Source organism: Homo sapiens, chromosome 14 (assembly GCF_000001405.40).
Source record: "Homo sapiens chromosome 14, GRCh38.p14 Primary Assembly".
NCBI lineage: Eukaryota > Metazoa > Chordata > Mammalia > Primates > Hominidae > Homo > Homo sapiens.
This window is the reverse complement of record NC_000014.9, coordinates 60,012,951-60,029,485: the sequence shown is the minus strand read 5'-3', so window position 1 is coordinate 60,029,485 and position 16,535 is coordinate 60,012,951. Positions and strand designations below refer to the sequence as shown.

At 34.4% G+C, this 16,535-nt stretch overlaps 1 protein-coding gene and 1 long non-coding RNA gene across 19 annotated transcripts in view; one reads left to right on the top strand and one right to left on the bottom strand.

Moving 5' to 3' along the window:
• The window catches only part of LRRC9 (leucine rich repeat containing 9), a 147,105-nt gene that overhangs the window by 37,332 nt on the left and 93,238 nt on the right, over positions 1-16,535 (bottom strand). For 13 of the 14 annotated variants that reach the window (XR_002957549.2, XR_002957550.2, NM_001355272.3 and 10 more), the window contains 5 exons: positions 12,696-12,826; positions 11,007-11,115; positions 10,226-10,365; positions 6,616-6,752; positions 1,385-1,602 (listed from right to left, as the gene is read on the bottom strand). Coding sequence is in view for 11 of the 14 variants with exons in the window: in NM_001355272.3 (NP_001342201.1) it covers positions 1,385-1,602; positions 6,616-6,752; positions 10,226-10,365; positions 11,007-11,115; positions 12,696-12,826 (735 nt within the window). In the remaining 3 variants the exon portion in view is untranslated. Of the gene's footprint in view, positions 1-1,384; positions 1,603-6,615; positions 6,753-10,225; positions 10,366-11,006; positions 11,141-12,695; positions 12,827-16,535 lie in introns of all 14 variants that reach the window. The other variant, NR_075071.3, reaches the window with a different exon arrangement.
• The window catches only part of PCNX4-DT (PCNX4 divergent transcript), a 122,654-nt gene that overhangs the window by 62,261 nt on the left and 43,858 nt on the right, over positions 1-16,535 (top strand). Inside the window, exon 5 of one of the 5 annotated variants that reach the window (XR_943916.4) lies at positions 7,058-7,184. The exons of the other annotated variants lie outside the window; for them this stretch is intronic. This is a non-coding gene — a long non-coding RNA (PCNX4 divergent transcript). Of the gene's footprint in view, positions 1-7,057; positions 7,185-16,535 lie in introns of those variants that run through there. 5 annotated transcript variants of the gene reach the window in all.

Below are 16,535 nucleotides of genomic sequence, written 5' to 3'. Positions count from 1 at the left end.
AACCTAGAATCTATAGAATTATAAGGCATGGATCCCTATAAAATGTCACGTAATTTCAAGTTTAAAATGGAGATGTTTCATAAATGAAACACTCCCCTACTATATAAGATCACCTCATGGAATCTCACTTGAAGACCTCACATTTTATTCTAAGCTCGATGGCGTGTGTGATGTGGGAAGGAAGGGCCTGAGAAGGCACTAGGCATGTCCTGGGCCCTGTGTGTCATTGAAATTATTTATAAAGCTTGATACCAGGTAAGATCTGTGATGACTGTTAAGTCTGATTTGACAGTCTTTTTTGCAGTTCAGTTGCTGTCACTGGAAAGATCTCCATAGAAGGGCAATTTTCCTAATTTAGATTTCTTCTGGATAAATCTTAGGAAGAATCATCCCCAGTTTTGGCAGGCTTTTCTCAGATGAATGTTTGAATCTGTATAAATTAGTTGTATACTATTTTTATCTGTATGTACATTCCCTAATTGCTTTGTAGAAAGGAGCATGGCTCATGATTTCCTTCTAACCTTGTCCAGGGCTTTAAAAAAATCTCCCCCAGAAAAGGCTTCCTGAACTCTATAGCAAACAGAGCCACAAACAAACATTTATGGAGTACCTATTATGTACCGGGTACTATGCTATATACTGATAGAAATGTGGACAAGATAGACTTGGTCTCTGCCCTTGGCGGGTAGTCCAGAGTTCAGTCTGTCTTTGAGGCTATCTTAGAGGTATTGGCAGAAGTAGAAAAGTTGGTAAAAGGAGAGCTAACAGACCACCACAGAAATGCTAAGAGAAATGTGAGGGCTGTATAAGGTTATGTCTTCAACTCTTATCTGTATGCTATCTCAGGAGAGAGTCTGAGCAGTTCAGTTGGGGCAGTGACCTAAAAGTAACAGGTTAAATTCTAAGCAGGTAAAACTAAGCCAGGATCCTATCTAAGGAAGCCTTGAGTGGGGAGAGATAAAATATTAAGCCAAGTCAAAGTCCATTATCAGGAGTTGATTCAAATGCCGGGTAGAACAAGTACATATGACAAGTTTAAGGGGCCAAAGGAAGTCCGGAATCGAGATTCAGAAACAACTTGGACCAAGAGCAGTCAAGGAACAAATGAGAACTCTCAGAGAGGACTGATGAGAAGAGCCTTAGAACACGTAGAACTAATCTTTGTTAATGAGCTTGTGCATGTTGCTTTGTCCAGTTCTGAAGTCTAGAAGTAGGGTGGATATTTCTGCATCACAGACTATTTCTATGACTTGAAATATAGATGGTATATAGGTGATAAATAATATACTAGCAACATTTTCATTGATGTGTTTGGAAGCTTTATGCTCAGAACTCAGAGAAACTAAAGCTTGTAAATCCCATAATAAAAAAATAATAATGTTACCTGGATTTTATTATATCCTAGGAAGAGTTTCTCTAGTTTTACCAAAGATTGTAATTTGCCCAGTTCTCGTAGTCTGTTTTCCTCCAAGTGAAGTGCCAATAAAGAACTTGGTTTGGCAAAAGCACTGTCATTAAATGATCGGATGCGGTTATGGTCCACTACCAATTCTTGAAGGACTACTAAGTTGTCAAGCCCTTCAACTTGGCTGATTTCATTACCTAAAAAGAGATAAGTCATGATATATCAAGTGAGCCCAAACTTCCTGAAGTAAAGGATATCTACTTACATTTAAATATTTTTTAATCAGATGATTTGTCAAAAGAAGTAAAGGATTCAAGAAACTTATTTCCAAAGAGAAATTGAAATGTAATTTACAGGAAGGTAGCATCATCATAAAATAATATTTGCTAAAATTTCTCATTTGTGAATTTGAAAGATCAGGATGTGATGTACAGAATGTACTGAATTGATCTAATATGTCTGTTTGGTAATTAAGTGTTAAAATAGTCGGTATTGACAAAAGTAGATATAGAAGACTGCTGCAGAAGATACGCTTCCTGAGTATATTAGTACTCTAATAGATATTACAATAGTATATTTAATTATTTCTTAAAATAGACTAATTTGTTGTATTATGTTAGAAGAATACACATTAATTATGCTGTTCTTTCTCATATTTTTGCACTGCAATCATATTAAACACATCAAAGTTCATTTAATTCTTCAAAACTCTAAACCTTATTTATAAACCTATGATTTCTCTCTATTGTAGCTATCAATAGCTATATAAATATTAATGATAACTTATATGAAGACTCTCCAATTTACAAAATGCTTTTATATGTACAGTATTTTCTATTAGAGTCTCAAAATACTACAGGGGAAATATTTTATCTCTTTTTTCTAATCAGAAAATTGAGGGTCAGAGAAATTAAGTGGCTTTCTCAAAGACATAAAAATGGCAGTATCAGGCCTAACTTAGACCTTTTACATTTTAAGCTCAATTATCTTTCTAGTATGCCATACTACATTTCAGTCAATATTCATTCTCCTTGATTATTATGTGCTGAATTGTGTCCCCCTCCAATTCATATGTGAAAATCCTAACCTCCAGTACCTCAAAATGTGACTGTATTTGGAGAAAGTGTCTTTAAAAAGATAATTAAGGTTAAATGAGGTCATTGGGATGAGCATTAATTTAATATGGCTAGTGTCCTCTTAAGAACTGGCATAAAGACAGACACATAGACCAAGGGAACAGAATAGAGAACTCAGAAATAAATCCACACATTTACAGTCAACTCATTTTTAACAAAGGTGCTAAGAACACACATTGGGGAAAAGACAGTCTCTTCAATAAATGGTGGGTGGAAAACTGGATATCCATATGCAGAAGAAATGAAACTTGACCCCTATCTCTCATCATATACAAAAATAAAATCAAAATGGACTTGACAAAGATTTCTTGTGTAATACCTCAAAAGCACAGGCAACCAAAGCAAAAATGGACAAATGGGACTGCATCAAGCTAAAAAGCTCCTGAACAGCAAAGGAAACAATCAACGAAGTGAAGAGATAGCTTACAGAATGGGAGAAAGTATTTGTAAACTACCCATATGACAAGGGATTAATAACCAGAATATATAAGGAGCCCAAACAACTCAACAGGAAAAAGGTCTGCATAGACATTTCTCAAAAGAAGAAATACAAATGGTCAACAGGTATATGGAAAAATGCTCAGCATTACTAATCATAAGGGAAATACAAATGAGATATCATCTCACCCCAGTAAAAATGGCTTTTATCCAAAAGACAGGCAATCATAAATGCTGACAAGGATATAGAGAAAGGGGTAGAATGTCTTCAAAGCTCTTCTCAGCCTTTCATTCATCTTTCTGTGTGCTTACTTTTAAGTAAGCACATACATTTTTGACTTCTCCTGTCACTTCCATTGTGATCATTCTAAAATAATGTATCTCTAGTCCTGACTTGTGGTCCAGTACTATTGCTAGAAAAAGTTTCTATTTTTAGTGCATCAAAATTGTTATAACACAAGCTGATCTTTCTCTACTCCCAAATGAGCAACATTTCCCAATGACTTTAGCTTTAGTACCTCCTCTTGCCCAATCTCCCAATGAAATTATAAAAACATCTGGGACAGTTTTTCTCTTTATTTTACATCTAATTAGCCACTAAGTCCTAATATTTATTCCTTTTAAACTGCCTTTTGGATTCACCTCTTACCACTCCCACTGCCAGCACTCTAGTCTATGCCCTTATTATACCATTCAAGCTGGATAGAAACTGCATGTGCTTTGGAGGTAGATAGATCTAGGTTTGACTTTGTACCATAACACACACTGGTGCAAACTTGGCAAATTATTAAACCACACTGAATGTCACTTTCTTTTTTTTTTTTTTTGTAAAATATATGTAACAATCCTTACCATGTAGAGTTGCTGTGAAGATTAAATATGACAATCTATGTAGACAAACACCTTGCCTAGTGACTCCATAAATGGCAGCTGTTATTGTCAGAGTAAACTGCCTCACTTCCTGAATAAGGCTGCCCTACTCTAATTTGCCATGCTCGCCATGGCATCAGAACATACTCCTCCATTACATTATTAGATTGAAATAGACCTTACAGGGTTAGGTGGTCTGCTTTTTTGTATGTCAGTGTATCTTTTAAAATATCTGGGCAGGGAGTGGTGGCTCACGCCTGTAATCCCACCATTTTGGGAGGCTGAGGTGAAAGGATCTCTTAAGGCCAGGAGTCTGAGACCAGCCTGGGTAACAAATTGAGACCCCTTATCAAAAAAAAAAGATAGAAAAATTAAAAAATTAGCCAGGCATGGTGGCACAAGCCTATAGTCCCAGCTACTCAGGAAGCTGAGGTGGGAGGATTACTTGGGCTCCGGAGGTTGAGGCTGCAGTGAGCTATGATTGTGCCAATGCACTCCAGCCTGGGTGATACAGAGAGACCCTTTCTCAAAAAATAATAAATAATAAAATAAAAAATAAAAAAAAAACCAAAAACAAAAAACCAACCGAAAAAAACACAAAAACAAAAATCAATCTGTCACAGCCATAAAAAAGAATGAAATCATGCCCTCTACCACAGCCTGGATGGAGCTGGAGGCCATTATCCTCAGTGAGCTAACTCAGAAACAGAAAATCAAATACTGCATGTTCTTACCTACACGTGGGAGCTAAGCAATAAGTACACAGTAAGTACGCTCCAACAATAAGTACACCGCAAAAAGGGGGAGAATGGGAGGGGGGTGAGGGTTGAAAAATTACCTATTGGATACTATATTCATTATTTGGGCAATGGGTACACTAGCAGCCCAATTCCCACTAGTACATAATACCATGTTAACAAACATACACATGTACCCCTTGAATCTAAAATAATTATTTTTTTAAAAAAAGATCTGTCATTGTGCTGAATTTCTTGTTTTTAAGGCCAGGTCTCCAGGTTCTTGATCCAAATCACAAGTGCTTTTGATAGATGCATTCAAATTTTTAAAAATATGGTCTAGAAAGGCCTGTCTTTGAGAAGTTACCATACTCAGATCAACTACCTCGATGTCTCCCCACATGTCCCACTGATGGATATACCTGCCTTTCTCCTATGCCATTAAAAATTATTGTTAGACTAATGTCCCAAGCCCTGTGTTTTTCTCACGCTACTTCTCTAAAAGTTTCAAGCTCCTATCTATTGTTGACTACATCCTGTACAAATTTCTCTGCTTGGCTTTCCCTACTTTGGTCCTGGCTCTATATTTTCAACCTCAATTTTTCACTATTCCACAAAATTTAAAAATTACTAATTGTTGGTGGGAGTGTAAATTAGTTCAAACATTGTGGAAGACAGTGTGGCAATTCCTCAAGGATCTAGAACCAGAAATACCGTTTGACCCAGCAACCCCATTACTGGGTATATACCCAAAGGATTATAAATCATTCTGCTATAGAGACACATGCACACATATGTTTATTGCAGCACTATTCACAATAGCAAAGACTTGGAACCAACCTAAATGCCCATCCATGTTAGACTGGATAAAGAAAATGTGGCACATATACACCATGGAATACTATGCAGCCATAAAAAAGAATGAGTTCATGTCCTTTGTGGCGACATGGATGAGCTGGAAACCATCATTCTCAGCAAACTAACACAGGAACAGAAAACCAAACACTGCATGTTCTCACTCATAAGTGGGAGTTGAACAGTGAGAGCACATGGACACAGGGAGGGGAACATCACACACTGGGGCCTGTCAGGGAGTAGGGGGACAAGGGAAGGGAAAGCATTAGGAGAAATACCTAATGTAGATGATGGGTTGTTGGGTGCAGCAAACCACCATGGCACATGTATACCTATGTAACAAACCTGCACATTCTGCACATGTATCCCAGAACTTGAAGTATAATAAAAAAATTACTGTAAAGTAATGAGGCTTATTTAAACAAAAACTAAATAAAATGATCTCATATATTGAAATGAGGATTATTTATCAAATTAATCATGTTTAGAGGATTTATAACTCTTAGAAAAGTGCATATTCTTTGTTCTCATCAGGTTGTTCCCTTTTCAAGTCTTGGCCCATAGACACCACAGTCATGTCCTGTGACTCTTTTCCTCCTCCCCCTGCTTGCAAAGCACTCAGTAATGCTCACCTTCAATCTAGATTCTATCACTCCTTTAAAGAGTTCTATACATGCCGACGAGCTAATCTTTTAATTTCTCTTCTCTCTGAACTTCTATTGCACTTAAGTTAGTAATACATAGTCTGAACTTCATCTTTGGCCCAGTACATCTCCACAGATAGATCTTAAGCTACTTAGATCAAGGATTTCAATGATACATAATTATAATAACATAGTACTTCCATATCTTTCATAGTACTTACCACAATTCTGGGTTTAATAAATACTTGTGAATTATCCACTGTTTTTTTTATTGTTTTTTAAGTTGAATACGATATACAAGTAAATTATGATGTAATACTATATATATTCTCAGAATACTGCATTGACCTTTAAAAATGGTTTCTAAAAAATGTAAGTAACCAAGAAAAATCAATTTGTGATTATTAAAATATTTTTGTCTATGAATGTTTGAGTAAATACTGATGCTTATATTTGCTTATCAAAACAGAATGATGATAAAATCAGTTTTTAAAAATAAAGACTTATACAGTAACAGTGTTTCTACTCACCCTGTAGAAAGAGGAATTTTAAATTTCTTAGTCTGTTAAGTTGTAGCTGGATCAAATTACAAATTCCATTGTAGCCCAAATGAAGAACTTCTAAACTGTGCATTATTGGAGGCAAATTTTCACTGCTCATTATATCTCTGAAACACATAGGTAAGTTTGAGGCCATAAACTTAACTTCAAACCAGCTATATTATAAAAAGACAGTTCAGTATGTGTTTACTATAAACTGAAGTTAAGAAAATATAAATTTATTAATATATCAGAATTAAGCTTAATACAGTCTGTTTATATTTTATATAATAATACTTATTCTTTAAAAAGAATGGTCTAGAATAAAGAAGTACATAAGGTGTTACAATGAAAAGCATTAGAAAATGCAATCAGGCAAGAAAAAAATGCATCCAGATTGGAAAGGAGTAAATAAAACTGTCTTTATTTTCAGATGACATGATCCTGTATTTAGAAAATCCTAAAAGATCCACCAAAAAACTACTTGAAGCAATAAAGGAGTTTAGCAAGGTCACAGGATAAAAGATTAATGTACAAAAATCAACTGAATTTTCTACCTACCAGCAATAAATAATCTGAAAATGAAATTAAGCAAAAATTCTTTTCACAAAGTATAAAAAAGAATAAAATACTTCAGCATAAATTTAATAAAAAGTGGAAAATCTGTACACAGAGAACTACAAAACATTACTGAGAGAAATTAACAAAGATCTAAATAAATAGAGAAATATTCTATGTGTATGGATTAGAAGATTCCATATTACTAAAATGGCAATTCTCCCAAATTGATCAATAGATTCATTTAATACAATCTCTATCAAAAGCCCAGAAGACATCCCCCCCACTCACTGCGAATAAACATCTTATCCTAAAATTTATAAAGAAATGCAAAGAATCTAGAATATTCAAAACAATCTTTTAAAAGAACAAAGTTGGAGAGCTTAAATCACTGATTTTAAAATTTTTTATAAAACCACAGTAATCAAACCAGTCTAGTACTGGCACAAAAGGACAGACATACAGATCAATGGAACAGAACTGAGTACATAAATAAACTCTTACATTTATGCTTAACTGATTTTTAGCAAAGGTGCCAAAACAATTCAATAGAGGAAAGGAGAGTGTTCTAAGGAAATGGTGCTCAGACAACTGAATATCCACATACAAAAATAGATTTAGACCTCACTCCTACCTCACAACATACACAAACATTAACTCAAAATAGACCATAGGACTCGATGTAAGAGTGAAAACATAAAACTTTTTAAAGAAAACAAGAGAACATCTTTGTGACCTTAGGTTAGGCAAAGAATTATTACATATAACACCTAAATTGCAATCTGTAAGAGAAAAGATGGTAAATTAGACTTTATCAAAATTAAAATTTCTTCAAAGACATCATTTAAGAAAATGAAAAGAGAGGCCACAGATTGAGAGACAATATCTGTAAATCATTTTTTAATAAAGGGCTTACCCCCAGTATAAAGACACTTAATAATGAAAAGCCAAGCAACCTAATTAAACAATTAGGTTTATTAGGTTTCAGATTCGAATAGAGATTTTACCAAAGAAGATATATGAAGGATTAATAAGCATATGAAACACTGCTCAACACTATTCGTCATTAGGAAAATGCAAATTAAAACCACAATGAGATACCACTTCAAATGTATTAGAATGGCTATACTATAAAAGATGGGCAATAACAAGCATTGGCAAAGATGTGCAGGAATTAAAATCTTCACATGCTACTGGTGATAATGAAAAATGGTGCAACCATTTTGGAAAACAGTTTAGCGGTTTCTTAAATAGCTAAATGTTAAGTTACTGTATGACCCAACCATTCCACTCATAGGTATCTACCCAAAATAAACATAATGAAAATATGAGTGCATGCAAATATTTGTACACAAATGTTTAAAGCAGTGTTAGTCAAACCAGCCAAAAAATAGAAACAATCCAAATTTCCATCAACTGATGAATAAACATTATGTAACATATCCATACAGTCATATCCATACAGTGAAATGGCCAATATATTCAGCAATAAAAAGGAGGGAACTACTAACACATGCCATAATGTGAATGAACCTTGAAAACATCATGCTGAGTGTAAGAAGCCAGAGGCAAAAGACCGTCTATTTTATAGTTCCATTTATATGCAATGTCTAGAAAATACAATTCTAGAAAACAGATTAGAGGTTGTTTGGGACTAGAGGTGGGAAAGGAAGTTGACTGTAAATGGACATGAAGGATCTTTTTGGTGAGATGGAAAATGTTATAAAATTGTATTGCAGTCATGATTATACAACTCTATAAATTTAGTAAAATTATTGAATTATACACTTAATATAAGTAAACATGATACATTAACTGCCACTTCAATAAAACTATTAGAAAAATCAAATATGAATAGGATCCAAAAAAGTATGTATATAAATGAAATGTTCATAGTAGCTTTAATCGTAATAGCCTAAAATTAGGAACAACCAAAATGTTCATCAATGATAAATGCATAAATAACTTGTCATATAATACATATAATAGAATACTATTCGGCAATAAAATGAAATAAATTACTGACACTTGGAACAAAATGAATGACTCTCAAAAGCATTATGCTAAGTAAAAGGAGCCAGGCACAAAAACTACTTACTACATAATTCCAATTATATGAAATTCTGGAAAAAGGCAAAATTATAGCGAGAGAGCAGATCAGTGGTTGTTGCCAGGTGCCAGGGTGTCGGGGGAGAGATTACAAAGGAAGTTTCTGGAATGGGAATACTTTGTATTTTGATTGTGGTAGAGGTTTTATGATTGAATACATTTGTCAAAATTCATTAAACTTTACACTTACATTGGTGAATTTTGTTGCAAGGAAATTATACTTCGATAGAGGTAATAAAAAGCACAAGGAATGTTCTTTATTGGGAAAACTGGAATGAAAGCATTCTGATTTGGAGATACACGTTATAAAATATATATATCATATATATGATATGTATTATATATGATGTATATATATGTTCTGTCAAAAATGTGTAAGGAGGTAGAAGGTTTGTTGTCATTTTTTGCATAAAGTATCTATTCCATTGGTGCTGAGTCATTAAGTGACCAGATAAATAATTTAGAAATAAAAGCAAAACAAATGCTGAAAAAAAAGCCCACGTCCATGCTACTGTGTATAGGGTTCCTTTGTGAGTTGATAAAAATGTTTATGATGAAGAAACTAAAAATTGCTAAATTGTACATACAGGGTGAGTTTTATGGTATGTGAATTGTACCTCAATTTTTAAAAAAGAAACCCAAGGTCATTAAACATGCAGTACAAGGCCTTTTGTTTGTTTGTTTTTTGGTTTTTTCCCTTTATTCACAATATAGGTTTGAAATGGAGAAGGCAGAGAATAAACAATGAGAGAAATATTTTGAGTACCTTTTTATTATGAAGTTTATTTTTGGCATGTAGCTATTAAATAAAATAGGTATTACAATAAGCTAAATTTTATGTACTGGAATGTGTTACTGCTATCATTAATGTGATTAACTGCTTTTAAAATTCCCAGCCAAAATTAGTTATAATCATAAAAATAAAGAATACTACCTGTTTGTTTTTGAAATTCCTTGCTGTCCATAGCCACTTGAAGGCACTTTCTGGTACAGTAGTTGTCTACTGGTTAAGTGAGTCTGAGGCTTTAGTCTGGGCATGATTGATTCAATATGATTATAGTTAAGGCATAAGACCTACAGAAAGAATATCTTATTAATCAGAAATCCTAGAAATTATTAAAAATTGTATGGATAAAACTTGGAATATACCACATAATTTAATAATATATTAGTGCTAAAACAACAAATGTTTATATCCTAAATAATCTAGATTTAGTTTTCAATGTGTTTTTAATCTGACATTCTGGGAAATTACAGTACTTCACATGGAGACCCTAGAAAACTCCTCAACTTTCTCAATCTGTTCTCCTGATTTCTCCAAACCTGACAAGGATGAAATAATTTTTAGTCGAAAAGACAGCTATTTACCTATGTTTAAAAGGCCTTAGTAGATGCCTGAGTCAAGTAAATAATAACGGAGGCAATAAGGCCGTTTAAAGAACCTTGAAGCTTCTTTCCATATCTGCCTTCAATCCCATCTCTGACTACAGAGGAAAATTTACTAAATATGTGACAATCACATAAAACTGAGGTCAAACCAAAATCACTTTGGAAGGTAATAGTTTTTTCTTGCTTAGTAAAAAACAAAAAAAAACCCAAAGAAAATTTAGGAATAATTTATCTACTTTAATAACATGGAAATACCATTTAATCCAAAGCAAAGAATAATTTGCATTGGAAACCTTGAAAGAAAGAAAAATTTGTGAATGACTTACCTTCACATTAGGTAGATAGATTAATCCACTGAATGAGGTAAGATGATTGTTCTGTAGATTCACATTACACACATTTCTAAATTGGTCGACTGGAATCAAATCCACTGTTCTGAATTTAGACAAAGTAAATACAGCTATTATTTTAATAGGACAGGAAAATATAGGAAAAGGTGAGTTCCTTCACATACAGCCACCAAAGACATTTAAAAAGTCTCACCTGACAAGTATAAAAATAATTACTTTAATGTAAAATGAATTGGTTAAATGATCGGCTGAATATACATTTTTGTTGGGTACATATGCAAGAAAGTGACATAGAATTTGGTTGCTTTCAAAAAAAACACATCTATTACCATATAAACATAGCACTATTATAGAAGAAACTTATAAAAGAGACATTTCCACTTTCTTTATAAATTCACATATATGTTTATGAAATCATAGTGAAGTTGATATTGTAAATCATAAGCTTTTCAGGTTATAAACTTCAGATGATATATATTGAAGTAGGTCATTTCTGAAATACCAGGAAGTGGTTAGGGATAGGAAAGGAAAGGAAAAGCAGGTAAGGTCTTTGAAAATAGAGTTTCTGTGGTATCTTCTGGAAACTTTTATGGCATTCCACCCTGTGTGAACATTTTGGTAATTAAACAGAATGCTTGATTCCCAGTCTATAGCTATATCTTCATTTGAGCCATGACAGAGAAGAGCATAAAACTACATCCCTTTCCCTAACCAGTTCTCTAAATAAATCCTAAACTTGAAGTTACAATTATGACATACTTTTACCCACTAATAAGTCATTCATTCAGTCAACATATTTCCATTAGTATTTCCTAAGTGCAGCGGATGTGTTTGGAAAGGCTACAAGAAAGATGAAAGAAATGTTTCAGCCCCCAAGAAGTGGGAGCCAGAAAAATAAAAATAAAGAGGAGAATTGCTGTGATAGAGTTAGCATCTCTATCATACCAATGTAATGGCATTTCAGGGAAATAAAATCTATTTTAAAAAGTCAAGGATGACAGCATGGAGGAGAAACATCTTGAGATGATATTTGGAGGAGTTATAGGTATTTGTCGAGCAAATTAGCAGAAAAGAGTTCTAGGCAGTGCAACAGGAAAAACAAAGGGAGAAACAAATATGAAAGAACATCTTATGATTGAGATTCAGTAACTAGAATATTTCAGAATTTCTGAAGTATGAAGTATCATGGGCAGTAAAGAAAAGGACTACAAGAGATAATAATGGACAGATAATAAAGAGTCTTTTATGCCATACAAAGGAATTTTTAATTTTAGGCTGGGCACAGTGGCTCACACCTGAAATCCCAACACTTTGGGAGACTGAGGCAGGTGAACCACTTGAGCCCATGATTGGAGACCAGCCTGGCAACATGGCATAAATGCTGTCTCCACAAAAAATACAAAGAAAATTAGCCATGCTTGGTGGTGCGTGCCTATAGTCGGAGGATCGATTGAGCCTGCAAGGTTGAAGCTGCAGTGAGCCATTTTTTGAGACCCCATCTCAAAAAATGCTCATTACTTAGCATGAATCTTTTCAGTACAGTAGATAATTTTATGAATTATTGATTATATTTAGGTAAGTTGTATAAATGTAAGCTTCAGAAAAATGATAATAATTACATAATGTAATTATAATGTAAAAAGGCATATAATAAAATGATTGTACCTAATAGATGATGAAGTCCAATTTAGTTCTTGCATTTGTTTGAAGTTGGAATGTCCTTGTCGTTCTGCAATCATGTCAGAAGTAAGTCTACCACCAAACAAATCTTTTGCACTGTCAGTCTCTGATGGTTCCTATATGAAGATATTTAGAAAATGATGTCCTGTCTTACAGATGACTAAATTACATAGTTCTCTGGTTTTAGGTAAAAATTCAGTGGACTCATTTTTCCAGATTCCTCCTACTAAGTAGAGCTAAATCCTGTGCATTATATATGAAACAAACATAGGCAGGGCAAGGTGGCTAATGCCTATAATCCCAGCACACTGGGAGGCCAAGGTGGGAGGATTGCTTGAGTCCAGGAGTTCAAGATGAGGCTGGGCAACAAAGTGAGACCCTGTCTCTACAAAAAACAAAAAAGAATTAGTCAAGCACAGTGGCACATGCCTCTAGTTGTAGCTATGTGGGAGGCTGAGGCCAGAGGATGTCTTGAGCACAGTTCAGAGGCTGCAGTGAGCTATGATCATGCCACTGGATTCCAGTCTGGGTGACAGAGTGAGATCCTGTCTCTAAAAATTTTTTTTAATTAAAGAAATTAAAACCAAACATAAGAATACTGAAAGATGTGGAGAAGAAGGCAGACCAGGTAGGTACCTCAGGACCTGAGGAATGACACCCTGGATTTTCTTTTTGCCTCATAATCTCTACTGGGTGTTAGAGAAGCTAGAAACCCAGAAATGACAGTAAGGAAATAACAAGACAAAGTCCACAAAAAGCCTGCTCTCTCTAATCAAAGGATCGGGAAAGGGGAAGCCTAGCACAGCAGAAAACTTTAGACGATAACAAGCCTACTCCTGCTAAATCCTACAGAATAAACTGTGGCCCCCAACTTCATGCCCACAAGTAAAAGCAGAATGGGCTGCTTAGACTTTCACCAGTGCTCATCTGTAACAAGGCACTTCTTCATCATCCACCTGCTGAGTGGGAACCTGTATTTCATCCCTCCTCAGCAGTAACACATGTCCCCACTCCCTGCATGCAAGTGTTATTGTAGATAACATGGGGAGTTTGGATTCCCACTTCCACCCAGTAATAATGAGTTATCTGTGGAGCATCAATTAGGTATTCTTGTCTCTCCCAGCCAGGATGAATCAGTGAAGGGTTCTGGGTAATAGTAACAAGGAGTTCCTTCCTTCCCAGCCAGAGTAAATCAATGGAGGCCTGGTGGGGAGCATGAACTCCAACTCTAGCCTAGCAGTTAATGAAGAACACACCTCCAGGTTGTCAACAGAAGCCAAATGGAGGAATTTGAACTTCTATCTCCCACCTGACAGCAACAAAGTTGTTCCTCGTCTTCTCACTGGTATAGTGCCAAGGGAGGCTTGCTAAAATAGATTTAAATAAGACCCACATAATACCCCAAATGTCCAGAATAAAATAAAAAGTATGTTATGCCAAGAACCAAGAACATCTCAACTTGAATGTGAAAAGACGATCAACGGATGCCAACTTTGAAATGACACAAATATTTTTTAATTGCATTTCAAAGCAGTCAAAGGAAAAATGCTCAACAAGCAATTATGGACATACTTGAAACAAATGAAAAAAACAGAAACCCTTAGCAAAGAAATAAGTGATAGCAAAGCAATAGAAGATATGAAGAATGAAATGAAAATTTTAGAATTGAAAAATACTGTAAACAAATAAATGCAATGGATAGGGACTCAATAGCAGAGTGGAAAGAAAAGAGAAAAGAATAACTGAACTTGAAGACAGAACAATAGACATTACCCAGTATGAACAAAAGAGAGAAAATAGACCCATAAATAAATGAGCCTCACTTTACCAAGATGGGCATATCCTGTATTTGTGGAACCATAAAAAAGATTTAATATTAGTATCACTGGATTCATAGAAAAAGAAGAGAAATAATGTGGGGCTGAAAAAGTATTTGAAGAAGTTATAACCAAAAATCTTCCAAATCTGGCAAAAGACATAAACTAAGAAACTAAGTAAGAAGCTAAGCAAACCTCAGACAGGAAAAAAAACCCAAATCCATGCAAGGACACATAATAATAATCAGAATCAAATTTCTAAAAACTAATGACAGAGAAAAAAGGCATGAAAACAGTGACAGAGGAATTAAATCTTACCTATAAAGGAAAAACAATGTAAGTGACAGCAGATTTCTAATCAGAAACTATGGAAACCAGGGAATGTGGCACGACATTTTCAAGTGGTGAAAGAGAAACATCAACCCAGAATTCTATATCCAGAGAAAATATCATTCAGAAATAAAAAGAGAAAGCAAGACATTCTCATAGGAAGGAAAACTAAGCAAACTGTTACCAGCAGAACTACCCTAAGAAATGACTAAAGAAAGTTTTTGAAATGGAAAGAAAAAAAAAAGGAATCTTGGAATGCCAGGAAAGAGGAAAGCACAATGGAAAGAGTATTAATAAACTTCCCTTCTTTTCTTGATTTTTCTAAATTATCTTTGATTAGTTGATGTGAAAAAACTATAATATTGTCTCATTGGTTCTCAATGTATATGGTGAAAATATTTAAGTCAAATATTAACAGGAGAGAAGAAATAGACTGGAAGGAAAGTAACATTTCTACACTTTACTCAAACTGGTAAAATGTCAACACTAACAGACTATAGTAAGTTATGTATATGCATTGTAATAGAACAACCACTAAAAAAAACTATATGAAGAGATACACTAAAAAACACTATGGATAAATAAAAATAGAATTTCAAAATGTGTTCAGGAAGCTCACAGGAAGGCACAAAAAAGAAAACAGAAGAAAGATAAACAAAGGAAACAAATATAAAACAAGAAAACAAAATGGCAGACATAAGCCCTAACAGGTCAGTTGGCTATAGTAAATATAAATGGTCTTCGTTCATCAATTAAAAGATAAAAATTAGCTAAAAGGTAAAAGAACATGATCCAACTGTATGTTGTCAACAAGAAACTCACTTCGAATATAATAATATATGCAGGTTGAAAGTAAAAGAATGGAAAAAGATATCCTAAACATTAATCAAGAGAAAGCAGGAGTGGCTTCATTAATCTCAGATAAAGTAAACTTTGAAGCAAAGGAAATTACCAGAGTCAGACAGAACATTACCTACTGATAAAACGGTCAGTCCACCAAGAAGACATAACAGTCCTAAACGTGTATGCACCAACAACAGAGCTGCAAAATATTTGAAGCTAGAGTCCCCAGTTATTTTAGCCAATGATGTAGGTATTGCTGTGAAAGAATTTTGTAGACATAATTAAAGCTCCTAGCAAGTTGACTTGCAATAAGGAGATAATCTTGAATAATCTGGATGGGCCTGATTCAAACAATTGCAAGGCTTTAAAAGCAGAGGTAAGTTTCCTGAAATAAAGAATTTTCCTGAAGAAAATCTACTCATGGACAGCAGCTTTCATCTATCCCTGTGAGTCCCAGCCTGTCCATAATCTTCCCTTCCTGATGGCCTGTCCTATGGATGTCAGACTTGTTTAGGCAGTCCCCTCAATTATTAAATATTCCTTGATATCTATATTTCTATATATAGACATAGATATCTCTATATGTATATCTATCTTACTAGTTCTGCTTCTCTTGTTGAATCCTCAATAATAAAATCTCAAAATAAGTTTTAAAAACATATTAAGCCTTGGGGGAGGGGGGAGGGATAGCATTAGGAGATATACCTAATGCTAAATGACGAGTTAATGGGTGCAGCATACCAACATGGCACATGTATACATATGTAACGAACCTGCACATTGTGCACATGTACCCTAAAACTTAAAGTATAATAATAATAAAATTAAAAAAATA